The sequence below is a fragment of the Homo sapiens genome, chromosome 13 (assembly GCF_000001405.40).
Source record: "Homo sapiens chromosome 13, GRCh38.p14 Primary Assembly".
NCBI lineage: Eukaryota > Metazoa > Chordata > Mammalia > Primates > Hominidae > Homo > Homo sapiens.
In genome coordinates, this window is record NC_000013.11 from 39,504,390 (window position 1) to 39,530,137 (window position 25,748).

The following is a 25,748-nucleotide window of genomic DNA, read 5'->3' on the forward strand; positions in this document are numbered from 1 at the left end:
ATTAGAAGATTTCCTCGCTGTATTAGTTTACTAGAGCTCACATATGAAGTATCACACACTGGGTGGCTTAAACAACAAACATTCTTTTCCCACAGTTCTGGAGGCTGGAAGTCCAAGATCAAGATGCTGGCAGGTTTGGTTTCTCCGGAGGCCTCTCTCCTTGGCTGGCATTGCAGGTGGTCCCCTTCTTGCTCATCCTACATGGTCCTTCCCTCTGTACTTGTCTGTATCCTACTCTCCTCTTCTACTAAGGACACCAGTTACATTGGATTAAGGCCCTCTCTAATGACTTCATTTTAACTTAATTAACTTTTTAAAGACTATCTGCAAATACAGTCACATTCTGAGGTACTGAAGGTTAGTGCTGTCACACATGAAACTGGGGAGGAAACCCCACACTTCTAATTCTAGTACTTATGCTCAGGAATAAGCATATTCCCCTACATCTTTGCCTGCTGTCATATATGCTGCCAAAACCGCAGAGGAAATTGTATAATGTCATTTTCAATGTACATGACCTTCCTGAAATAAATAAAAATGACCTGGCTCATTACATAAATGAATGAATTAAAATGAATTTAACTACAACTACAATTTCTAGTTTTTTCCATCAACTAGGAAAGATGAAAGGACTTGTATGTTCCCCCAAAGCTTAGGCTTCTTTCCTAGATCTTTCATTTTAGATTCATTTACACAAACACACCTTTTTCTCTTAAACATTCTTCTCTGGGAATTGATGCAAACGCAAAAGAGAAAGGAAGGGAGGACCAGTCAACCATTCCAGGAGGAAACGTGAGGTCAAGAGAATGGTTTAACATCAATCAGGTATAGATGTTATCAGCATGAAAACATCCTCAGAATCACTGCTATTTCCACATTCTAGAGAGCGGAATCGGAGTAGAAGACAGTTGTCAGTAGAATCTCAGTGGAACTCAGAACATAATTGATGTCAGGAATCTGTCAACTCAAACATTCACTGAAGGCCTACTATGCATAAGGAATTGCGCAAGACCCCAGAGGAGGTTGAGTGACAAACTACTGAAAGAAATGAGGATTATGTTACTTGGTGGAGGAAAAGAGAACTTCAGAGGAGATACGAGAACTGTCTAAAAAAAAAAAACACATGAAGGGCTTCCTGGCAGAAACAGATTTGATTTATCCTCAGAGGCTCCAGAAGGCAGAGTTTAATCAACTAGTTCAATTCCTGAGAGGCTGATTTTGGCTAAAAGAAGGATGAATTTTCTGATATAACTATCCAGTAACAGTGAGGTAGCAAGTTCCTTCTCACCGAATGTGTCAAACAAGGTTTGGGGGTGCTGTGGAGGGATTCACAGGTGAGACAGAGAATAGCTGACTCTCTTGGTTCCTTCTAAAGCTGAGAAACTTCATTAGGTCTGTACCCACTACAGATTTCCAGTGATAGAGTGAAGGGTATTATCCACTTTTATACATTTTCTAAATGACATTTTGTCTATATTACAAATGAAAATATTATCCTCTAAACAAGGATGCATTATCTTACTGCCACAGAGGAGCTATCAATAATTTCTCAGTCCTCATCATTTATTATAAAGGATCTGCGGAACATCTCTCCTTTTAACCTCTAACCACTCAACTCAGATAAAGCCTGCATTCAAAACTGATCACCTTGTCATGCAGGTGATCAAGCAAGAACTATCTCTTTTTACAGACAAAACAGCCCCAAGTATAATAATATGGTTTTATACTACACTATGATCTTTTACATTACTTCCTTACAATAACAGTTTCTAGGGAACAATATGATTTCCAATATTCAGCTCTGGCTTCTGTGGACGTAATATTCTGTGATCAACAGTGCGGTTAATAGATGTGATTAGGAAAACAAGAAGAGGCTACCATAAAAATGTATGTGAAAGAGCACCTGAGGGTCCCGCTGCTAATTCCTTGGCCAAGTTCTTAACAAGGGGTGAGGATCCTAATGGTGTTCAGTGATGAATACGAAGACCAACTGTGAGAAAGGACCTCAGAGAAGATAGTAAACATTTGTCAAAGTTGAGTCCCATGGGATTTCACGCTCTTCTGAGCAGTGGAAACCAAAATCACCTAATTTTCTATCCAGCCAGGCTAGGATGATGATCCACAGTGAGAAACATTTCACACTAAAGTCATTTATTTTATTTTATTTCATTTCATTTTTTGCTTGTGACCCCTAAATTAATAAGGGCCACCGCCACTCAGCAGCTTAATCAACAGAGCTCCATCATTCTGTCAGCTCCTTAAGAAGCATAAGAAAGCAAGTCAGGGTGGGAAAGGGTTGAATGGCAGAGAAGGAAGGAGGTGGGATAGGGAGGTGGGGGGGAAGGTGTGGAAAAATAATGTGAGATCTCACATATAAGCTAAAGCTGAGGCAGCTATGTAATTATAAAGCTAGCTTTTCTTTCACTTGACAGCACAAGAAAAGGAGGTGAAGATAAGCTTTTAAATGAAACATGACATTCCCTTATTAAATTCTGATTTCTATTTTAAATGGCTTAGTGCTTTGAGTTTACTTCCACACTCTGAGCTAGCCAAGAAGGAGATGTTTAATGGAAAGAAAAACTGCAAATTTTTTTGAACAGTGCATGCATGTTTCTAAACAAGTTTGTATAAACACGTTTGTGCTTATAAAAGCTGTTCGGGTTATCCAAGCAATAGTTGGCCACCTTTTGGTAAACATAAATGCATTCTAGCTTACTGGGAAAATGCAAGGTATGCCTTTTGTTTAAAAATAACATGATGCGTAATGTGTGCAATGCATTAAGAATTTATTGCCCATTTCTGCTTCAGTTCCTCTCCATCACGGGTAGCCAACAGAAGCTACACGTCCTTACAAGCAGTGCTCTGTGGCCCACATGAAATCAGGCCATTGCATGCTAGGACCTGTAGACCCCAGACAGGAGGGAAGCTGCAGTGCATTTCCTGTGCCGTCAGAGGTCTAGCAAGTTTGGGGTTTTATTTTCCCTCTCACAGAAAAAGATAAACATTCTTGCTGCTTCTCTCTACATCACATCCACTTTAACACCCCCTCCCATCTCAAAGGACTGCAGGCATTTCTCCCCAAAGTATGTGGGAAATGCCCCAAATTGCTGCAGTTTGTATCTGCTTGTCAAATACCATCAGTAATATTCATAATAATGCCAAATATTGAAATTGCTGCAGTTTGTATCTGCTTGTCAAATACCATCAGTAATATTCATAATAATGCCAAATATTGAAATTGCTGCAGTTTGTATCTGCTTGTCAAATACCATCAGTAATATTCATAATAATACCAAATATTTTTTGAGCAATCTGCATATAGAAAAATAGTTTTACCTACAGTATCTGAGTATGTGGTAGATATTATTAACTTCATTTTACAGAAAAGAAAAACTGAGTTCAGAGAGGCTATGCAGTTTATCCACAGGTACACAGCAAGTAAATGATAAATCCAAGATTTGTCTCTGATTTCAAGTCCAGGCTTTATCTTGCCTCCCCTCCCTTCCTTCCTTCCTCCCTTCTTTCCTTCCCTCCCTCCCTCCCATTTCTTTCTCTTTTCCTTCCTTCCCTTTTTTTCTCCCCTCCCCTTTCTTTTCCCTCTTTTTCTTTTTAATAGTGTTATTAAGTTGTAATTTACTTTTTTTTTTTTGAGGCAGAGTCACGCTCTGTTGCCCAGGCTAGAGTGCAATGGCGCCATCTCGGCTCACTGCAATCAATTTCCGCCTCCCAGGTTCAAGTGATTCTCCTGCCTCAGCCTCCCGAGTAGCTGGGATTACAGGTGTGCACAACCACGCCTGGCTAATTTTTGTATTTTTAGTAAAGGTGGGGTTTCACCATGTTGGCCAGGCTGGTCTTGAACTCCTGACCTCAGGTGATCCACCCGCCTGGGCCTCCCAAAGTGCTGGGATTATAGGCATGAGCCACTGCCCCAGGCCATAATTTACATATAATTACATTAACATACCTGAAGTACACAATTGATAAATTTTGATGCACATACAATGGCAAAACCATCACCACAATTAAGATAATAAGTATATCTATTACCTGATCACATTTCCTCATACTACTTTGTAATTTCTTCCTCCCCGATTCCATTCTATACTCCCCATCCTAGAAAACCATCCATCTGCTTTCTTTCACAATTGATCTGTTTGAATTTTCAAGAATTTTATATTAATGGAATCATACAGTATGTACTCTTTTTGTTTTGCTTCTTTCACTCAGCATAATTATTTTGAGATTTATCTGCATTGTTGCATGTATTATAAATTCATTCCTTTTCACTGGTAAATAATATTCCAGTGTATGGATATATCCCAATATTGTTTATCAGTTCACCTACTGATGGACATCTTCATTGTTTCCAGTTTGGGGCTAATAGCATTCCTAGAAATATAGCAACTAACAAAACTCATACACAACTCTTTATATGAATACATGCTCTCATTTCTCTTTAGTAGATACCTATGAATGGACTGGCTCGGGTAATACAGTATATATGTATTTAACTTTTTAAAGAAGTTGCCAAATTGTTTTCTAAAATGGTTGTACCATTTTACATTGCCACCAGCAGTGTATGAAACTCCCAGTTGATCCACATTCTCATTTATGCTTCGTATGGTTAGTCTTTTTAACTTTAGTCATTCTAGTAAGCACTGAATGGTATCTCACGGTGGTTTTAATTTGCATTTCCTAAATGATAAATGATGGTGAACATCTTTTTATGTGGTTATTTGCCATCCATGAAACGATGGTGAACATCTTCTCATGTGGGTATTTGCCATCCATATATTTGTCCAAACATTTTGCCCATTTTTAATTGCATTGTTTTCTTATTATCAAGTTTTGAATATTTTTAAATAATTTGGATACAAATCCTTTATCGGGTATGTGATTTGCAAATAGTCATTCATTTTTTTTTCTTTTATCCATCACACCTTTAATGTCATATCTAAGAAATCTTAGCCTAACACGAGGTCATAAATATTTCCTTTTTCTCTTTTCTTCTAGAAGTTTTATAGTTGGGGTTTGAGATTTAGGAACATACTACGGTTCAGATTAACTCTGGATTAAGGTATGTGCTGAAGTTGGTTTAAGGTATGCGCTGAAGTTTTTTTTTGTATATGCCTATTTTTAAATTTGATTTTTTTATTTTGCTATTTTATATTTCTTTTAAAAAATTTTTTGGACTATTTTAAAGCTTTCTTCTATTCCAGTATTATCAATGCTTTTTCTTTAGGAATGCCAAAATGACCAATAAAGAAGGGGCTTTAAAATAAAGATGGGGCCAGGCACAGTGGCTCACGCCTGTAATCCCAGCACTGTAGGAGGCTGAGGAGGGAGGATCCCTTGAGTCCAGAAATTTGAGACCAGCCTGAGCAATATAGCAAGACCTCATCTGTACAAAAATTTAAAAAATTAGCCAGGCAGGGTGGCATGTGCCTGTAGTCCCAGCTACTTGGGAGGCTGAGAGGAAGGGTGAGGCTGCAGTCAGCCATGACTGTGCCTCTGCACTCCAGCCTGGGTGACAGAGTGAGACCTGGTCTCAAAAAAATAAAATAAAAATACTACAACTGGCATGAACCAGACGATATAAAAGTAACAATTTACAGATTACAAGAAATAAAATAGGCTCTAAGACAGAAACTCACGGTGCTCAAAGAGAATCCTGCAGGAAGACTGAATCCCACTCAATTGCCCATCTGCTGATGGTTACTGACTGCTCTGCAGATGGTAACAATGAGGCGTAATGATAAATATGCATTGCTCTGGAGTCCTATACAATCAAAGCACTTCACGTGAGAGTAAAAACTAATTAAACATTGCAGCACCACCCACTGAAGGTAGAGTTAAATCTGTCAAATTATATATTCTGAGCAGCACTGGTTTATAAGAAAGATTCACCAAGTTTCCTTTATTTTTTTGTCCTTAATTATAAAACCTGTTTTCACCTGACACTTTTCCAGCAGTGTAACTTTTGCCCTGGGGCAAACTGAGGTGGCGATGTCTGTAGTAACTGCCAAGAGAGCTGTTTGTTTCTCCCCAGGGGTAGGTCATTAGAAACTGAAAGTCCAGAACCAATTTTCTCCAGCTGCTGCAGGTGTTTTACTTTTAGCATTGTGGGGTGGGGATAGCAGATGCCTGAGAAACTATAGTGTTTTACATAAGTCTGAAATCATTGGATCTATAACCTCAGTTCTTCAACAAACCTTATGTCAATCAAGAGATCAGAACACATCTTTCTAGAAAGAGAAAACACACACACACACAATGGAGAAGCAGGTAGAAAGTCAGGAGTTACAGAACTAGCTAAATGGAAATATTACAGAAATTTACAGAAGTGGACAACTTTGCTTCCTGAGTGAAAAAGTTATATAAAACAAAATAAAACAAAAAATAATTGAAGAGGAAAACTACAGTTTGAAATATACAACTTAAACCTGAAATTAAATTACTGGTATTTGTAATCATTACTTTAAATTTTTTTTTTTTCTTTTGAGAGGGAGTTTCGCTCTTATTGCCCAGGCTGGAGTACAGTGGCACCATCTCAGCTCACTGCAACCTCCGCCTCCCAGGTTCAAGCGATTCTCCTGCATCAGCTTCCCGAGTAGGTGAAATTACAGGTGCCCACCACCACGCCCAGCTAATTTTTGTATTTTTGGTAGAGACGGAGTTTCACCATGTTGGCCAGGCTGTTCTCAAACTCCTGACCTCAGGTGATCCGTCCACCTCAGCCTCCCAAAGTGCTGAGATTACAGGCGTGAGCCACCGCACCTAGCCAAAATATTTTCTTACGCAGTCTTTCAAATGGACAAAAAAAAAGTCATGGGTATTTAATGTAATGGCTACTTCTGTATCCACTTTCCAATTTTTCAAATCTTAACATTTTGTCAAATTTGTTTATTTCTTAAAGTAATACAATATTATACATACAGTCATTTTTGGCTAAAAAATTGCAAATGAGGATGAACTAGAAGGCATAAAAAATAACATATTTCCTCCCATTTTGGCTGACATCAGTAATCAATCACAGCATTCTTTGTTCCTAACCCCTGTCAATTGATTTAAATTCTTAAAAAAAAAAAAAAAAGACAGAAAAGAGATACATTCGCCACCTCTGATGAATACCTAACAGCAGTAAACAAAGGATTCAACTAAAGTCAGGGGTAAAAATTAAGCATTCCAGGCCAACTAGCTTGATTTTATGAACAAAGAATATTCTAGAATATACTATTAACAATTACAGAAGTTTTCCTTTATGAAAAATGAATAACCCCAGGCCACTAATTTTCTTTTTGGAATCAATCACCAATTTAAAGTCTACTTTTCTCTCGATCAAGAATTAGCCTGAAAAGATACCTGCTATGTATTTTTCTGTAGCTGGTGCTCTACAGTAAGATTACACCTGTTTTTAGGTATCTGCTTTGTGGAGCAAAAACAAGTACAGAGCTATCCTTGAGAAATGCTCTTGATAATAATCCTCACATAGGCACCCTCCATTGTAGCTTCCTATCATTCACTCAGGATTTTCCAACACCTTCTGAAAGTTATATTTCTTACCCATCCCAGTAAATGCCTCGAAACATTTTCTGACAGGCAGTTCACAAGTATCCATGAGACGACCTATTAACACCTAGAATTTTCTGGTTCTGAAGTGGGATGGATGGTTAAAATGGGTTTTTAATACTTTATTTGTAATTTAAAGACTTTTAAGGTATAAAGATAATGTCAAGTCTTAAACATGTGCCTACTGTTTCAACAGCTTCCCAAGCCTTACCTTCTTCTTCCTGCTTAACACTGATTTCCTGTTCTCTCTCATCTCACCGTCATTCTGCAGCTCTATGTGAAACGTTTTCTTGACTAAAACCCAAGTAATGCCTTTCCTTCCTTATTTTCAAAACAGGTCAAACATACAAGAAATCAGACCAGGCTGGGTGCGGTGGCTCACGCCTGTAATCCCAGCACTTTGGGAGGCGGAGGCGTGTGGATCACGAGGTCAGGTGATCGAGACCATCCTGGCTAACACGGTGAAACCCCGTCTCTACTAAAAATACAAAAAATTAGCCGGGCATGGTGGCGGGCCCCTGTAGTCCCAGCTACTCGGGAGGCTGAGGCAGGAGAATGGCGTGAACCTGGGAGGCGGAGCTTGCAGTGAGCCGAGATTGCGCCACTGCACTCCAGCCTGGGCAACAGAGCGAGCCTCCGTCTCAAAAAAAAAAAAAAGAAAAGAAAAAGAAATCAGACCAAATTTCTCTTCCATCAGTTACAGAATGATTAGCCAGTTCTGTTCCCTTCTTAAATTGTTCTGCTGTGTAGTTGTTTTGGAAAATATTCATGATGTATTCAGACAATTCTTCAATTCTAAAAGCAGGTAGGACAGCTTGACCAGGCCTGGCATGCTTGGAATCTGGGAGAAGACAAGATAAGTATCTATTAAGAGAGTCTCTCTCTCTGCCAGTTTTGTGCTAAGGCCCATTCCTGGCCGTTGGAGAGGTGAGATGGCAGGCTTGAAAGACGTGCCCAGGCACGCGCGACACTGTCTGCCTTTCATTCCTCTGCTATTGGCCACTGTCATGACTGATGACCACGCTGTCCTGGGTGTTATTAGAGAAGAACATCCTCTCCATTTGCTAGCTGTGTATCTGTACCTTTTCCCAACTCCCATTTCCTGTCCTTTGGAAGCATCAAATGGGCATTTTCTGAATAATAGCAAATAACCTTAAAATTTTACTAACTGGAAACAGTTGTTGTGAGAGGTTTTGTCCTAAGTTACATGGGATCATTTTAGAGCAAATCAAATAACTAGTTAGAAGAACTGTTTTAGTTGTTCTTTTAAAACAGTTAAAAGAGCTGCTTAACTGAATAAGAAGGGCATGGCCCTTCTTATAAAATTACATGGGATTCTGACCTAAAACAATTATTGTGTTCTAATCATCAGGATAAAGTTTTCTCAGCCTTCATCTCTTATACTCCCAAGTTTGTATTATCTTCTACATTCAGTCTTACTTTTGGCTTCTTTTCCTATCCTATGCCTTCCAGTGGCCTTTATTTGAATTTTTTTCCCAAAATATTCTCTGGAAATCTTGAAGGCTAAAACTATACAAAGATAGAAAGTTCAGAAAGTAAAGAAATAAGTCTACATGTTCTAGAGGGTGCTTACTAATCTAAGCCATGGAGAAATGTCAAAATAAGAAAAGTAAACTGCATTTTATTGAGTACCTACTATATTCCAGTTACTATATCAGGAGCTTTTATATGTTACCATAGTTATTCCTCACAATAAGTCTATAAAGTAGGTATTATTTCCTTTTTACAGTTGGGAAGCTACACTTCAGAGAGGATAAGTTTCATTGTCCAAGGTTATATATCTTTTCAAGATCCAAACACAGGCCTTTATGATCCTACAACATGTATATGACCCTCATTAGTTCACATAATGTCTTTCTATTTATTAGTGTGTATAGTGTGATCCCTACCGTACTGGATATTTTATGAGATAAATAATACACACAATTCAGTCCCTTCTAACTCTGAGAACCAGTCAAAAAAATTGATGAGCCCATCCTCAGCCCACTCTGCAACTTGACTCTGGAAACCCAACAATTATTCCTAATCCCTGCTCCTGGTCACTGTGCTCATCTCAGGGAGAACCTGAGTGATGGAGTCAAAGAAGGTTTTAGCTGAGGATCACGAGACCCATGTTCTGGTTTAGTCCCAGCTACTGATCATTTAAACTGGCCAAACTAAAGTAACTGGGTTCACTCCCTTCATATGTAAACTAAATAATCAGAAGGGACTAAAGTCTCTTAGAGCTTCAGAATTTTACAATTCCTTCTTATTTCCCTGGTTATGAATGAATTAACAAGCAGAGAAGGGCGGGGTCACAAGTGACAAAGCTCTAAGTCCAAGGGTCTCTTCCGAAAGCACACAATGAAAGCCCCAACCCCTCTCCACATCCAGAGCTCAGCAGTGCAATGACTGGAAGTCTGTTCTCTTGATGATGAGGGATTAGTGTACTCACTGTTTACACCAATAAAGGAAAAGTGCTCTGGCATCAACACAGGTCCCTAGGCAGTAGGTATTGTACCTGCTCTGAAAAGCAGCTTATCATTCTGATCCAGTCACGAATGAGCACCACAATAATCTAGGCAGGAACACCAAGCTACCCATGAACACAAAATTCACTGAAGAAATGTGAGCCCCAAACTCCACCTGGGCAGTGCATTATTACCCAGCCAAAGTTAACTGAGTGCCAGGGGATGAGAGGCGGGCAAGGTTACATCCCCAACCTGAGCACAGCTCCAAAAACAGGAACAGGGAAAGGGAAGCAAAACACTGAATTCAACGTGAATGCATTTCTGCACTTACATATAAAAGAAAGAGTTTAATATTCTCAAAGTGGAAGAAGCCAACCAAGGACATGATTGACGTAGAAACTTTAATTCCAGCCAGCCAAAACCCAGAAGAAAAATAGCGAAGTGCTAAAGGCAGGGACTCTATCCCCCACGTAATGCCACATATTGGAAAACAAGCTCCAAGAATGTGTAAGATGAACATGTGAGTTTTCTAGGCATTCGCAGGAATAGATCAATTCAATAAATAACTCCCAAATCAGCCCTACACATTCCTTTGAGGACCATCCGAGCCACTGCTATTGAACTGCGTTCATTGGATCCTGATGAGACCTGAATCCCCTTTAAGTGGAGTGGCTGTACCTCTAACAGCTCTGCCCACTTCACCTGGCAAAGAACCTGACTCTATTTTACACTTTATGGTATTTCTGACAAGACACTGTCCCTGCCTGTTAGTTCCACTCACAAAGCAATCCAAGCCAGGGATGAGCTGCGCTGCCTTCAAGAAGCAATGCGCCTTCAGACCTCTGCAGCTACTTCAGGTTTGCCACTTTCCCATCAAGGGTTGAGGATTTTTTCATGAAAGAAAATAAAGCTTGAAGCACATCAAGCTATAAATCAGCATCAGGAAACAAGGTCATGCATTTTACAACATATGATCCAAACACGCTGCACCAAATTGGCCTTTAGTCACTTGAATTGACATAAAGTGTGCCTGGGCTGACACTTTATTCTTACCATTTGCCCTTATTGCTAGATAAAGGCTGTCGCCTTTCTCCTTCCTGGGGATTTCTCTTCGGCTTAACAGCTTGCTAAATGCTTGCCTTTGTTTGATAATCATTCTAAGGCATTGGTTTAAATCATCATTCTCCCTTTCTAATTTATCTCTGCCCGACAGCAAAGCAGCTCCCAGCTATCTGTGCTGGGGTAGGTGATTAACTGGCTCGCTGATTGCCCTTATATTAACATTAACATTGTCTTCCCTGCCATACAGATGTGTGCGTGATGATGAGAGACAGAAGAAAAGAGACACAAATTACAGGAATTGCTTAAAATAAAAAGCATTATTAACTAAGAGAGGAGGCCAATAATAAAAACTATTTGTTTTCATTAAAAAAGAAAATTACTATGGAAATACAGTTTCACCAGGGAGAAAAAAACATAGCTTGAATGTAGTTTTAGATGAATTCATACCTCAAGAGTTATACATAATTACAGTATACCCTTCTCTTTATTCATGGTACTCAACTTGATATATTTAAATTAAATTTCAACCCAGGAATTTTTCAAAGTATTTTGCATTCTAGCATATCCTATAAGACTCAGGACTGTGGAGGCTAATTACGAGTTCCTATTGTCTGATCCTTCTGGAATAGTCTCCTAGCTGGATTTCTGTACGCTTCACATTCTGTATCTGGGCAGACAAAGCCCTCAAGCAACAAAAATCTAACAGCTATGCCACACTTCCAGTAGCCTCTAGGAAATGAATGCCAAACATTTCTATCCTGGCAAAGGCTTCATGCCCCTAAAATGAAGTAATTTATTTGCAGGCCATCCTGCCTTCTACCATGCCAGCTTCAAATACCAGTCTATGACTTATCATTCCACTCCGCTCAAGCGTCCAAGTGGTGAGCCGAGCAGCCCCTGGCTTGATTTTGCTGTCATGGGGTAACAAATCCCTCGAGAGCTGCATCTGCCATGCAGGAGATTATCATAATTGATCTCTATATGTTTCTCGTTTTCAGATAAAAGATAATGCCTGGACATGCAGACTTCCCATAAATCCCACTGGTGTGGAGAACCCTTAAACACAGCCAGTTCATAAGGAGAGCAACAAGGATGACTGGATGTTAATTACCAGACTGATGAATATATAATGCAGGAATCAACAGGGACTGAAAGAAAACTCGTCTGAGCTAAGATATTAACATGCTCGATAACCTTGGCCAAGGCACTTGGCCTCTGTACGCCTCAATTAGCCAAACAGTAAAGCTGAATAAAATAAAAATCTTGATGAAAATTAGATGTGGATTTACTCTGATGAGCTTTCCTGAGTAATTTACAGTCCCAAAGACAACAGTCAAAACACAAAGCAAACATCCAAAGTGCCAACAGTGGAGGGAGTCGTACCAATGCAGCTGATCAACTTATTATACAAAGCCTCTTAAATCAGCTCATGTAGCATTCTATTAATTTAATGCACGCCACATGATGGTGATTAAATCTTCCACGTTGGAAGCAGAATGTGCTATATAGTTTCAGAAGAAGAGGTTAAACAAAAATTCTGATCTCCCCACATGACCCAAAAATAATACCTTTTCTAGAAGTTGCTTTAAAGAAACCCACCATGGTACTAAAGGGAAAGGGTTGCCAAATCTCTAAAGGTTTGAAAGAAAAATACTGTGGACCGTAGGGGGGTAATGAGAACTTCTGAATTATATAATTAGTTCCTGAGTACCCAAGACTATTTAAAATGCAATTTGCTGATTGGAAAGAAAAGAAATAATGAAGTACAAAGAGGATAAATGAAGACACCACACGTTAAGCCAGTGAACTTTCATAGTATGGGAGAAAAGAAAGAAGGACAAACCCTGTCTGTTCACGTTCTAAGCATTCATGATTTTCAAGAGGATCAGATGAACAATACTTTTTTGCTCTGGTTTTACAAATAGGTACAGGATCCTTGGCTCTCTCCTTCTTATCCCAATTCTTAAATGAATGTAATTAATCCAGACATCATCCTTTATCACTATTGTCTATACTGAAGATCCCAAATACATGTCTTCAGCCCATTTTTCCTGAGCTCCAGATACAAATTTCTGTCCAGCTTTCCTCAACTCCTTGAAAAATCCCTAGAAGTTGTCCTTGTTCTCTCCACATTTAGCACCATTATATGTCCCTGTTTGTCTGAGACAGTTTCCATGTACACCTTTTGTCCTGGGGTTATTATTATAATTTTTTAAAAATTGAGATAGGGTCTCTCTATGTTGCCAAGGCTGGTCTTGAACTCCTGGGCTCAAGGATCCTTTTGCCTCAGCCTCCCATGGCACTGGGATTATAGGCATGAGCCACCATGTCCAGCCTGCTGTTACTATTAATTGTACTTCCCTTTACTCTCACAGTAGTCCAGATTTAGAAGATAAATTATGTGGAGATCATTTCCACAACTCCCACCTTCTCTGTTCCACCCACCCCCAGCCATGGGTGGGCCTGTGCCATCTTCTCTAGCTCAGACTGCTGAAATAAGCTACTGGCTGGGATTCCAATCTCCACACTGCCCTTCCCTTCCTCTAATTCATCCATTCCCGCTAGGTGATCTTTCTCAGGTGAAAATCTCATCAGGTCACCCCCTGCTTCGATGGCTTCCCCTGCTTTCAGAATAAAGTTTAAACACTTTCGAATAGCGACGCTCAAAGACCTCAGAGACCTCCATAATTTCACTTCATCCAATAAATCTCCCATTAGATGTTTGTCTAACTCAACTGTACTGGTACCTCCCTATTAATAATAATAATGCAAACTTAAAGTTAGTTTTCCCAGATCCCAAAATATTAAAGTACCAACACTTTAGGTCTCAAACAACTTCTTTTCTGGGAAAATATAAGAGGTCTGAGACATCCTGGCTACTTTCCCCAGTTAGATGTGTTTCAAAAAACTGTATGTCAATCTTGTATTTTTTAACACCTTATATTTTTTAATCAACTTATATGTAGAATGTGCTAGAGACTCTATTTGAAATAGCCCAGTAGAAAATCCTTCTTACTGGTAAATAATTCTACTATAATGTATATTTTTTCTTTGTTAACTTCATATGTTTGTAAGTTTCTAAATCTTTCCAAAACTTTTTGACACTTCACACTGAATCAACCTATAAGGAAACTCAGGGTTGGAAGCATCTCTAAAGGCCACACCTGTGTATTTGTATCCTTCTACAATAGTATTTCTCAGCTTTTGCATCTACTAGAACCACCTGGAAAGCTTCTGAAAAATGCAGACACTCAGGCCCCTACTCCCATCCCCCGCCATCCCCCTGCCATGATTTAATCAATCAAAAACTTCAGAGATGAGGCCCAAACACGTGTCTACTGATGTTCCCTGAAGTTGGACAATTAATGGGTAGCATCCAGTCCACGATGGAACACGTCGAAGTGAGAATGAGTTAATAAGCCAGATATTAAGCAAAGTAGCTGCTTCAAAACTCAGAGCCCAGGGCTAGGCATGGTGGCTCACACCTGTAATTCCAGAACTTTGGGAGGTTGAGGTGGTAGATCACTTGAGGTCAGGAGTTTGAGACCAGCCTGGCCAGCATGGCAAAACCTCGTCTCTACTAAAAATACAAAAATTAGCAGGGCGTGGTGGTGAGCGCCTGTAATCCCAGCTACTCGGGAGGCTGAGGCAGAAGAACTGCTTGAACTCGGGAAGTAGAGGCTGCAATGGGCCGAGACCAGGCCACTGCACTCCAGCCTGGGTGACAAGAGCAAAACTCTGTCTCAAAAAATAAAAATAAAAAAAAAATCAGAGCCAAGTAAGTGAGATACAACTTGTATAAATACACTTGAGGAATTTGCTTACAGTAGAAATTCTATAGTAAATCCACCTATTTGACTTAAATTTGACTTTTGAACATAATTTTTCAAGGCAGCTCATAGGGACATCTTCCTCAAATAATGCTGATGCTGACCAGGTCAGCATTAATGTCCCAGATCACTGAGTGTTAAAAACGTTACACGCATTAGTTTGTCTCCCTCTTCATCTCTCCCTCAGTCTGCAATTTATTTCAGATCAATTAGACCAGGGAAATGATCTAATTTCCTGGTTTTAACAACAAACAAAATCTTCAATTATTGAACACTAATAGATTTTTTTCTTTTTCTTTTAAGACAGCTAAAATTGTGAAGCTAAATATGACACACAAGAAATATGTAATCCAGGCCGAGAATAAAAGTTACAATCTATTCTTTCTCTCTGACCTTTAGGTAAGCCCCATGCTTTCTCCTTCCATATCAATAAAAGAGTGGGCACCTGCAAATCCTAATTCCCAGACTTCTAGAAGACAAATGAGGTAATAGATGAAACACTCTGGGTATTACTAACCAAGGGGGGAAAAAAATAATGAGGTTAAATCTACCCAAAGCAAATCTTTAACATTCAAGCCACTGTTTGCAGACATATAGTCCCCTGGTTCACACACTAACCACCGGAGCCACCAGATGTAGGGATTCATAGGATTGGTCCACACAAGAAAGGCTTCCTAGACGTGTACATTAGTGATGTCAGTAGGAAGTGGGATGTTTCAGGATCCTCAGAAGGTTCTGATCCACCCTCCATCTGGGAGCCCAGTGCCCAGCAGCCTGGTCTTCAGAATCGGTTCATCTGAATCAACACCTTTTGTCATGTAAAAGGCTGTGTAAGATTTGGTGACCTACAGTTAGGGCAGATGTAGACATGAAGGGCCTGTATCAAGAACCACACCCAGCCTCTACACTGGAACAAACACTGGGAAAAACAGAACGGGACCCAGCCAGAAACGCAGCAGGTCAAGTCAACCAGCACAAAGCTACCCTGAGAATGTGGCCCTCGGTGATTGCTCTGACCAGCCCTCCTATCAGGGACACCCAACCCAAACAACCCAAACAAGAGTGTGTCCTAGGAGGAGGAATACTGAAAGCAGGCATTCAGGAAGAGTGCTGTATGGAACTTTCAGTTAGCACAGGACATTCTAGTAGCAATTCATCAAGCAAGGCTTCAATCCCCATATGTAAAAAATAAAAAAGAGTCCAAGTCTTCCAGACTGTGACGAACTGGGCAAATTAACAAGTTGTGGAATTGGCCACAGGAAAAGAAAGCAGGACTCCTGTTATCAGAACTGTGGTCAAAGGTGGGATTTGAGTCTTTGACGCTGGTAGAGAAATGAGCTATCAAATAGTGGAGCCATGTCACGGCCAGACAACAACAGCGATGGCATCGCTGAGCTGAAGAGCATTCACCTCAATCTCCTGAAATCTCTCCTGCCTGAGGTACAAGCAGTCTCTAGAGCAGAGACTTTCAACCCTGACTGCACATTAGAATCACTGATGCCTGGATCCCCTCCCCATTTAATTAGATCAGAATCTCTGGGTGTGGGTCTGGACGTTGGTATTTTTCCAGTGCCCAAGGTGATTTCATTGTGCAACCAAGGTTGAGAATGACTACAGGACTGGGAAGGGACTACTGATGGGTCATGGACAGCCTCAGTTCTGGGAAGAAGGCAACTGGAAATGCTGGCACCAGGCATGATCTGAAAACACAGGTCCATGTCAAATTCTACATAATTCTAAAATTATGACTACTTGGACAACAATTATTCTCCTTTCTTTTAACATAGGTCCTACCTTCATAGGTCTGAGGTAGCATAAGGTACCTGCAGCCTTTAAGACAGATCATTCCGACAAATCAGAAATGGAGATAAAGGCCATTCCTCACAGCTTCAATCAGTACTTCTTCCAAGTTTGAAGTAGACTACCTATTTTTAAACTACCTCGCTATCCAGGGTTGCATGTTACAATACCTATGTGATCTTTCATCTTGAATTGAATCTTAGCAAGCAGAACTTCACAGTGTCCTGAAATAGCCATTATTATATATAACCAAGTTCTACTGTTAACCTATCATTTGCTGTATGTGCATTACATGTACATTTCATGTGCTGAAAGGGAGATTAGTGGTTTAAGATTAGAATTAGATTTCCTCTAACATATTTGGAGAACTTCTGGCTTGATTATCAGGTTTATATTGATTGGTCAGTAGCAGCTAAAAATTTTTATATAGCAATAGGGCTGCTGATAAGATATCCAACGGGTTGGGTTTGTTGTTGTTGTTGTCATTGTGTGTATGTGTGTGTGTGTTTATTAACCACACCTACAGAGAAAGCAATGAATTGTATGCTTTCCTCAGATTACAGAAGTAAAATGTAGTCACGATAAAGAGTCATTATCTATCCAAATTTTCAACAACATGTCTTACCATGCCTATTGCACAGCATCTGAAAGATCCTTGCTTTGCAGATTACTTTTTGGCTTGCTTTGCAGATTATTATTGGCTTGCTCTGCAGATTACTTTTTTCAAAAGGCAGAAGGGAGCAAAAAGAGAGCTTGTGACCAGCCAAAAAGGAAAACCAATTAGTGACGTGAAAGTTAATGGAATCCCGAATGAAAGTGGCCCTGTCACTATTCTCTTTTACATCCTGCCCATTCCATTGGCTTCCCGATTGCTTTCACTACAACCCTTGCCTCACCCCAAACCCCTAGTACACACACAGCCTCTTACTAATCCACTATGTGCACTACCCCTGCCATGACTGCTTTGATTTCCAACTTTTGTCACATCACTTTCCTCTCCCAAAGACAAAAATCTATCTTCTCCTTAACAAGCACTTAGCACTTACCATATGCCAGGCACTGTGCAAGTGCTTAACAAATATTAATCCAGTAAACCCTCACAAAAATCTTAAGAGGCAGTTGATATTTTAACTTCATTTTGCAGACAGATAAGCTGAGGCACAGGTTTTAGTAAATTACCTAAGGTACCTAAGATTACACAGCTAGTAAGTGGCACAGCAGGATTTAAACTCGCGTAGTCTGGCTCCAGAGTCCATGCTCCTAACCAGTACACTGTTGTTAGCATGGCCAAGTCCAAGTTTTAAACCCAACTCTCCAATATTATTGTGTACTGCACTCTCCAAAGCATCCATGCTGTGGTGATAGCCAATAACTTACTGTTCCACACACACAGCCTGCACCAGTCCCGCTCCACGCACTCAGCTGACAATCTCATGGCCTGCACAGCCTTCCACATCCCTTTTAAGGTTCAGCTTGCACACTGCCATTAAGATACAGACTTCCTATTTCCCCAAACAAGATCTATTTCTTCCCAGTTCAAATTTCTCTTGGTCTGTATATATTGGAGAGAAAATTCATCATGGTTTATACATAATGATCTGTATATTTGTTTGTTCCCTCCTCCCAGACAGGCAACCACAAGAAGAAACCACACCAAAAAAAGTGTTTTGTTCTTCTTGTCATCTGCACAGGATCTAATATAGTGTCTCGCTCTTGATTTCAGTTGCATTAAATTCGTATGGACAGTGTAGAAATATGAGCAGAATGAGCACATGATTAGATGGATTCATAGCTGGTAAATCAACCTTAAAGAATGGGTTGAAACTAACATGGTTGGAATACCATATGAGTAGGTATCTGAAATCAGCAATATTCAAATGTAAGATGAGGGAAATACTACTCAAAAGTCTTTGTAGGAAAAAAAGAACCATTTGCCTCAACTCTCCCTAATTGTATGACCTTAGACAATTTACATAACCACTTTGGGCCTTTATTTCATCCTTTATATAATATTATGCTTTACGACTGATACATGTAATGTGCCGGTTTATGCAGAAAGCATGTGGTCTCTGTTAACTCTTATTATTATCCCTATTATGGAGGGTTAGATTTCTGAAAACTCAGTAAACACCGACAATGTGACACAACTACTAAAAAGTTAGTGCAGGCCAGGCGCGGTGGCTCACGCCTGTAATCCCAGCACTTTGGGAGGCCGAGGCGGGCGGATCACGAGGTCAGGAGATGGAGACCATCCTGGCTAACACGGTGAAACCCCGTCTCTACTAAAAATACAAAAAATTAACCGGGCGAGGTGGCGGGCGCCTGTAGTCCCAGCTACTCGGGAGGCTGAGGCAGGAGAATGGCGTGAACCCGTGGGGCGGAGCCTGCAGTGAGCCGAGATCACAGCGAGACTCCGTCTCAAAAGGAAAAAAAAAAAAAAAAAAAATGGTAGTGTAGGCTTAAGCCCAACAGATATGAAGACCCAGGTCATAAGAAGAATGATCCAACTGGACTCTTCACTGGCAGTTCCAGAGAACTTTGCAATGAGATGTAACAGCCTGAGAAATCTTAGGTACAGAATTTACTATTTTATCATTGCCTACCACCACTACTGCTCTGCTCTCTAACTAGGTATATCAATACAACACCCATTTATTTTACAAAAGATTTAAAAGTGAGTAAAACTTCCAGAATCAAGGCTGGTATTAGAATAAATAAGACAAGAAAGACGGAAAAGAGGTTAATTGCATAGACGTTAAGAGCTAAAGAAAGATTCCATAAATAAGCTGGCGAGCTTCAAAGGAAAGTTAACATTATCTTAACATTAAAAAGAAAAAAAATGAAGATTTGTATTATGGAGCAATAGGAAAAGATGGCAGAGTACCAATAAAAGATAATGAAAAGCAATGCCCAATGCCAGCATGGTTAAAATACAAATAGGTCATACTTTAAAGAGGTAAAGAAAGCACAGATGATAAAGATTATGAAATAGAAGCCTAGATAAAGGGAAGAAAGGGGCTAAGGGACATAGGAATGCCACTGCGCTCAAGAAGTAAATATTCAACAAATATCAATTTAGTATGTATTTTGAGAAAAAGCCAGTCTATACTCATTTCCTATAGACTGGATTACACTCAGTGTAAGCATGGTTTAATCAGCAGGGTTTTGGGGGTTTTGTTTTTGTTTTTAGGAAAGAGGTGACTCACTCACAGGTAAGGCCTAGAAAAAAAAAAAAGGATGAGGGAAACGGAGCTGTCTCTAAGTGGGTCCATAAAAACCACATTTATTTATACACCTTTCAAGATTAATTACAATTTCTATCACATAACTTGCAGGAACTAGATCTATTTGAAGCTGGTATGAATGTATGGCTCAAAGGCTCACTGAAAGAGAAGGGAACAAGGTCTTGATTCAACCCTCTATAATATTTTGCAGGTATCTTTTGATCTGCAGGAGGTATATTGTGCAAAGGGAAGAGGTATCCGGTCATTTATAAAACCCCTGTCTTCTTTTAGTGAAAGCACTTTGAAAGAATGGCACCAATATCAACCATGCTTGATTGCTTTGCTCCAAACCAACTATGTAGCAGTGGACTTAGGGGAACATGAGACAAATAGGCCTCCTGCTATTACAGAATTTACAGGCCACTAGGGGAGATGGACTTTAACAAAACTAAGTGCAGAAATAATTAACTACTTTTGTGCTAAATGTTATGAGGAAATAGAAAATTGCACTAAAATTGCATATAACTGAGGGTTCTAACCAAGTCTGGGGTATAGGGATGATGAGAATATAAAATCAGCAAAGGAAATAAAACTTACTGAATTATTCCATTTTCTGCCAGGAGTGACAACTTTGTCATGCTGCTGATGAAAAAATGGCAAGAAAATAAGCTCATCTGACATAAATGGAAGAGAACATGTCTGGCAGAAAAAGAAAAATGTATTTGAGGGCCACCTATGATAAATGCTCAGGGCGTTTGAGTTCGATACAAAGGAACCAGAGAAGACACACACAGTCCACGGGCAGAAGGTGGCAAGAGGTGCTGCCAATTGCTTTCTTTCCAATCTCGATGTCCTATTCCTAACTCTCAGATTCGTTTAAGAGTCATTTTCATTACAGACTCTAATCATGGGTTTTGTTTCTGAGGTCTCCGCCTGAGAAAGACTATTGTCTTTTTTAACACTCAGGCTTCAATAATGAAAAGCATTGTGACATAGTTCTCCTTCTGACTTAAAGTTTATACTGAAGAGATAATGAAATAACTAATTTTCATAAAAATATCTTTTGTCGTAATATCGTATTACTGGAAAGATATTATCTAACTTGGCAATAAATCTCTCTGCATTTAATATTATTTTAAGACTTCATGTGAGTGGTAATAAATGTAACGTCACTCACTAATTTAAGATCAACTGCTAAAGGGTTAATGTAAATAGCATGAGGCCACTGGAAATGGAAGGTGACCAGTAAATTCACTTAAGGACCTGCATAGCCTTGCATCTTCTTTTTGACCTTGAGGAACAGTGACAATAAAAAAAAAAATACTAAGGATGGCCAAGCCAAAGAAATGTGGCCAAAAGCCATATCATGAATTCAAGGAGCTTTTCCCTTTTTTAAGCTCATCCACTAGGAAATGTTCATAACTGTATGCTGAAAACCAGTGCATGCAAAAGGCATTTATTATCAAACACAGTAAAATCATAATCCTCATAAAAAGTCTTGAGGTTACAGATAATTTTTCCTTTTTTTTTTCTTTTTTACCTAAAACTCAGTGGACAAACTAAAACTCAGAAGGTCAAAAAGAAATAATCAGTCACAGAAACAGAATGTTATCTAATAGGCACTAACCCATAACAAAAGCAACATCTTAGACAGAACCAAGTCCTCCCAGTTAAAATGAAGGCTCTCACCTTCCTCCTACTAACATTGTTTCATAATATTATTGTGTGATGGTTAGGAATAAATACATGCATTATCATATCCCCAAATAGATAGAAACCCAAAAATAATCTTGTTCAATAGACAGTAACCCTATATTGACTGATGTAAGCCCCAGGAACTTATTCACTGTTATATCCCAAGCCCCTGGTACAGGGATTAGCATACAGGGTACTCAATAAATTCTAGTTGATCTGAAACGAACTGAACTACCTTGTAAATAGTAGGCATTGATAGTAGACAGGAATGTAGATACAGATATACATGATACAGATATACATGGCAGGGGTTGGAGGGAGAAACTCGTTTTTGTACCAGAAAGAAGAAAACAAAAATCAAGCTACACTAAAAATGACACAAATACCAATGTTTTAGAAATAGATGGAGTTAACGCATAATCATGATTTTAAAATATTGCAATTGCAACCAATAACAAAAGTAAATCTACACCTAACAAAATGAAGATGCAGATAATTCACTGGACTTGCAATCTAGGTTCTTTCCACCGGTCTAGTGCTCTGATGTGTTACTCTGCATTCGGCCAGCCATTTCAAGTTAGTGTTCAGCATCAGATGGGCTGATTCCACACGACAAGGTTACAGACTAGAACAGCATCTCCTGAAGTCAAAGATTCATTCATCCTGCCGCAGCTCACTCAGCCTTCAGACACATCGAGCTACCTCCAGAGTAGGAATTATAGCTACTGACATCACGTGCAACCTCATTTTACATCTGTAATTTCGAAGGCTTTAAGTGACGCTTCACTTAGGCAGAAACTGAAATGTTGAAATGCACATCAATCTTGAATTCTGAATACCCTCAAGAATCAAACAGTAGACTCTGAGAAAACTTTGACTTGACTTACTTTTGTTCAGAAAAATCAACCTTCGAATTACATATTTATTCCAGTTTCAAAATGACATAATTAACAAGGTCAAAAATCTGTTAAATGGTACTACAGGTTTTGCACATCCTCTACTTTTAGAGAGCAGCCTTTATGACTCCGTCTCTGTAAGTGCTGGTACTTACCTTGCTCAGTGACTTCTGATACACTAAAAAAGTAAAAATCACTAGAAATTTGCATTCTAGGTTAAAGGGCGTTTATGTTTTCCTTTGTCCAGTCATAAAGATTTCTTACTGAATGATGACTGTAAGATGCTTGCATTCTCCTTCATGTCTTTTTTTCCTTAGCTGGTCCCCAACCCACCACACTTTCACATACATCCCTGAGAAAGAGGCCTTTGGCCCTCATGTGTCACCTAAGGTGATGTGCTTCAACTAACATCAAGAAAATATCATGTGATAAGCAAGGTGACCTCTGTGGACCACTAGCACAGTCCTCAGGAGAACAGACAGCTGCAGTTGGAGCTGACTTCAGGTTGATAGATTTCTGTCTCCTGTCCATCTTTGAACAACCGACAACATGGTTCCATCTGTTGTCCAGAAAAAAAAAAAAAAAGCGTTTTCTACAATCTAATGAAACCATGTCAGGTTTCAAGTCTTGCACTGAACCCAAGAACTTCCTGATATGGGAATCAAACTGAGTGTTCCTTCTGGTTATATACTCATCATTTTTTTGTTTCCTCGTTACTTAGCTTTTATAGTACCTGGGCTCCTTCTGGTTATATACTCATCATTTTTTTGTTTCCTTGTTACTTAGCTTTTACAGTTGTTTTTAACCTTCTCAAATAGACTACAAAATTGGCTGGACAAGGAAAAACTCTCATACTTCTGTTATTTTTTAATCACAGAAACTTTTCTGCATATGCCAGGGATTTAACCAAGTTGTCAGAAGTATACATTTGAGAACTTCTAGCAACTTCTATTTCTAACTTAATCTTAAATCTTTAATTTCTAAGTTAACTATGTTTCTATAAGATTCATGATCATAAAACTTTAAGCTAGAAATATGCTATTTTATCTGACCTGACTCCTAGTTTTTAGATTTGGTAGCTCATGAACTAGTACTAAATCAATATAGAATCTCATCTCCTTCCGCTTCATATGACCCTCACAAGAAGGGCTTTTGCTGGTTTTTGCTAAGAAAAGAGATCTACTGATTCACACTATGATTCATGCCAGCTCAAACAGATGGAATCTCTGGCACATTCCTCACTCTGGATCTCAGCGCCCAGGCCAGCTCCATACACACTAATATGTTCTAGTCCTCTACCGTCTCCCCAAACCAGGCTGCATCTGCCTCTGAATGGGGATGCTTACTGTCCACTCCTCAACTCTATCCTTCCTCTCCCCTCTGACTGAAAAAAAACTAGATATCTGTATTTGCACAAGCCAACTTAGAAAGAGAAATTAAAGCTCATCTAATAAGGTCCCATGGTCACCTCCTAGAGAATTTAAAAGCAGCCTGGAGACCCCAAAGAGGAACAGCAATGACAAGCTCAGCAGCATCCCAAAGAGCTCCAGTGCCAAGCTGTAGGGCATCCCTCTCTCCCAGAGGCCAGCTGCTAAAATAGGCCAGTGTCCCTGTGAATGCTTGCTCACCATAGTGCCACTTTTACAAATAAACTTCCACGTTTCCCATCTCGCTCTATGATACTAAAAATGATTTCCATTTTAGGGAAAGTGGCAGGCAAGATAAAACATAGTGGAAAATAGAATTTATGAGTTGCTTCCCGCACATCTGGGCTACAATTCTTACACTTGTCACCCCTGTTGACAAGCTTAAAATAAAACCATGATTTTTATTTTTAGGTCCCAAGATATTCTTCCAGGAATTCCCTGTAAATTCATTTTTCCCCTCTGGCAGGAAAAATTAACACAACCCAGAATGAATAATACATTTATTTATTTTGTTGCTTAGACACTTTCGAAGGAAAAAAATGTATATGGCTTGATTTTCGAAGAATTACTCTATCTTGTCAAAAGACAGAAAGATGGTTAAGGCAGTGCAAGTCAGCTTCTGTTTAAGACAGCTGGAGGGCAAGTTTACTCTTTCCCAGGACCCACTGTGCAGAGATACCACTGCCAAAAAATAATGTACAAAATTCATGCCAATTCCCTTATTTCTTTTTTTTTTCCTTCTTCTTGAGGCAGAGTCCCACTCTGTTGCCCAGGCTGGAGTGCAGTGGCATGATCTTGGCTCACTGTAACCTCCACCTCCCAGGTTCAAGTGATTCTCCTGCTTCAGTCTTCTGAGTAGCTGGGATTACAGGCACCCGCCACCATGCCTGGCTAATTTTTGTATTTTTAATAGAGACAGGGTTTCTCCATGGTGGCCAGGCTGGTCTCGAACTCCTGATCTCAGGTGATCCACCCACCTTGGCCTCCCAAAGTGCTGGGATTACAGGCATGAGCCATCACACCTGGCCCAATTCCCTTATTTCTATCTAAATATATTTAATGACAGAGATCTTGAGTGCATTTATTTAATAGATATTCATGAGTTCCTACTATGTTCAAAGTCCTAGGCAGGGGATATAAAGAAGGCTACTAATGGATGAACACCTTAGTAGGTTCATACTTAGTGTGTAAGACACTGTACTGCAAATATACAAATATGTTCTCATTTAAAGTCTACAGACACAGTAAGAGCAAAGAATAAACTTTGTTGGGCTGATTTTGTTGGATATTCTTACCTCCAACACACAAATGGGGAATCTGGGATTTAGAAAAATTAATTAACTTGCCCACTAGTAGGAGGAGATGCTTCAAAGTCTATTCTACTTGCACTTTTGCTGTTTCCAATTTACTGAGCTGTTTGTTGGGAAGCAAATAAAAAGGTTTTGGACTTGCATTTATAATCCAAAAGGAGGAAACACACGGATAAAGTAATCAACAACAACACAATGCGAAAGAAAAAAGTGATAATGTAAAAGAAGTTTTGCACGAAGTGTCAAGAAGAAAAAGGTTTTATGAAAGAGAAAATTTTATTCTGAAGTTCATCCAATGATTAATTTATCCAATCCAAAACTACAAATGGGCACTGTGTGCTTAGTTCAATGCATTGTGCATAGTAGGTACTCAGTAAATAACTGCTGAATATTGGATGAATGTGTAGGGTTCTTTGAGTGAACATAAAGTGGGAAAAGGAATACTAAAGAAGAGAGTAACTAGC

The 25,748-nt window shown here is 39.5% G+C and overlaps 1 protein-coding gene and 1 long non-coding RNA gene across 3 annotated transcripts in view, besides 2 other annotated features; one reads left to right on the forward strand and one right to left on the reverse strand.

The window, feature by feature from the left end:
• Window positions 1-25,748, reverse strand: part of LHFPL6 (LHFPL tetraspan subfamily member 6) — a 260,302-nt gene that overhangs the window by 161,498 nt on the left and 73,056 nt on the right. The gene's annotated exons all lie outside the window — the stretch shown is intronic.
• On the forward strand, window positions 917-12,186 carry LOC105370170 (uncharacterized). Its single transcript, XR_007063765.1, has 4 exons — window positions 917-1,334; window positions 5,014-5,077; window positions 7,907-7,998; window positions 12,101-12,186. It is a non-coding gene; the product is annotated as an uncharacterized LOC105370170 (long non-coding RNA).
• Window positions 8,079-8,578: an enhancer, noted in NCBI's record as "H3K4me1 hESC enhancer chr13:40086605-40087104 (GRCh37/hg19 assembly coordinates)". NCBI's record gives its function as "activates a minimal SCP1, AML or CMV promoter by ChIP-STARR-seq in naive H9 embryonic stem cells {active_cell/tissue: H9 hESC(naive)}" and the evidence as "EXISTENCE:reporter gene assay evidence [ECO:0000049][PMID:30033119]".
• Window positions 10,760-11,441: an enhancer, noted in NCBI's record as "NANOG hESC enhancer chr13:40089286-40089967 (GRCh37/hg19 assembly coordinates)". NCBI's record gives its function as "activates a minimal SCP1, AML or CMV promoter by ChIP-STARR-seq in naive H9 embryonic stem cells {active_cell/tissue: H9 hESC(naive)}" and the evidence as "EXISTENCE:reporter gene assay evidence [ECO:0000049][PMID:30033119]".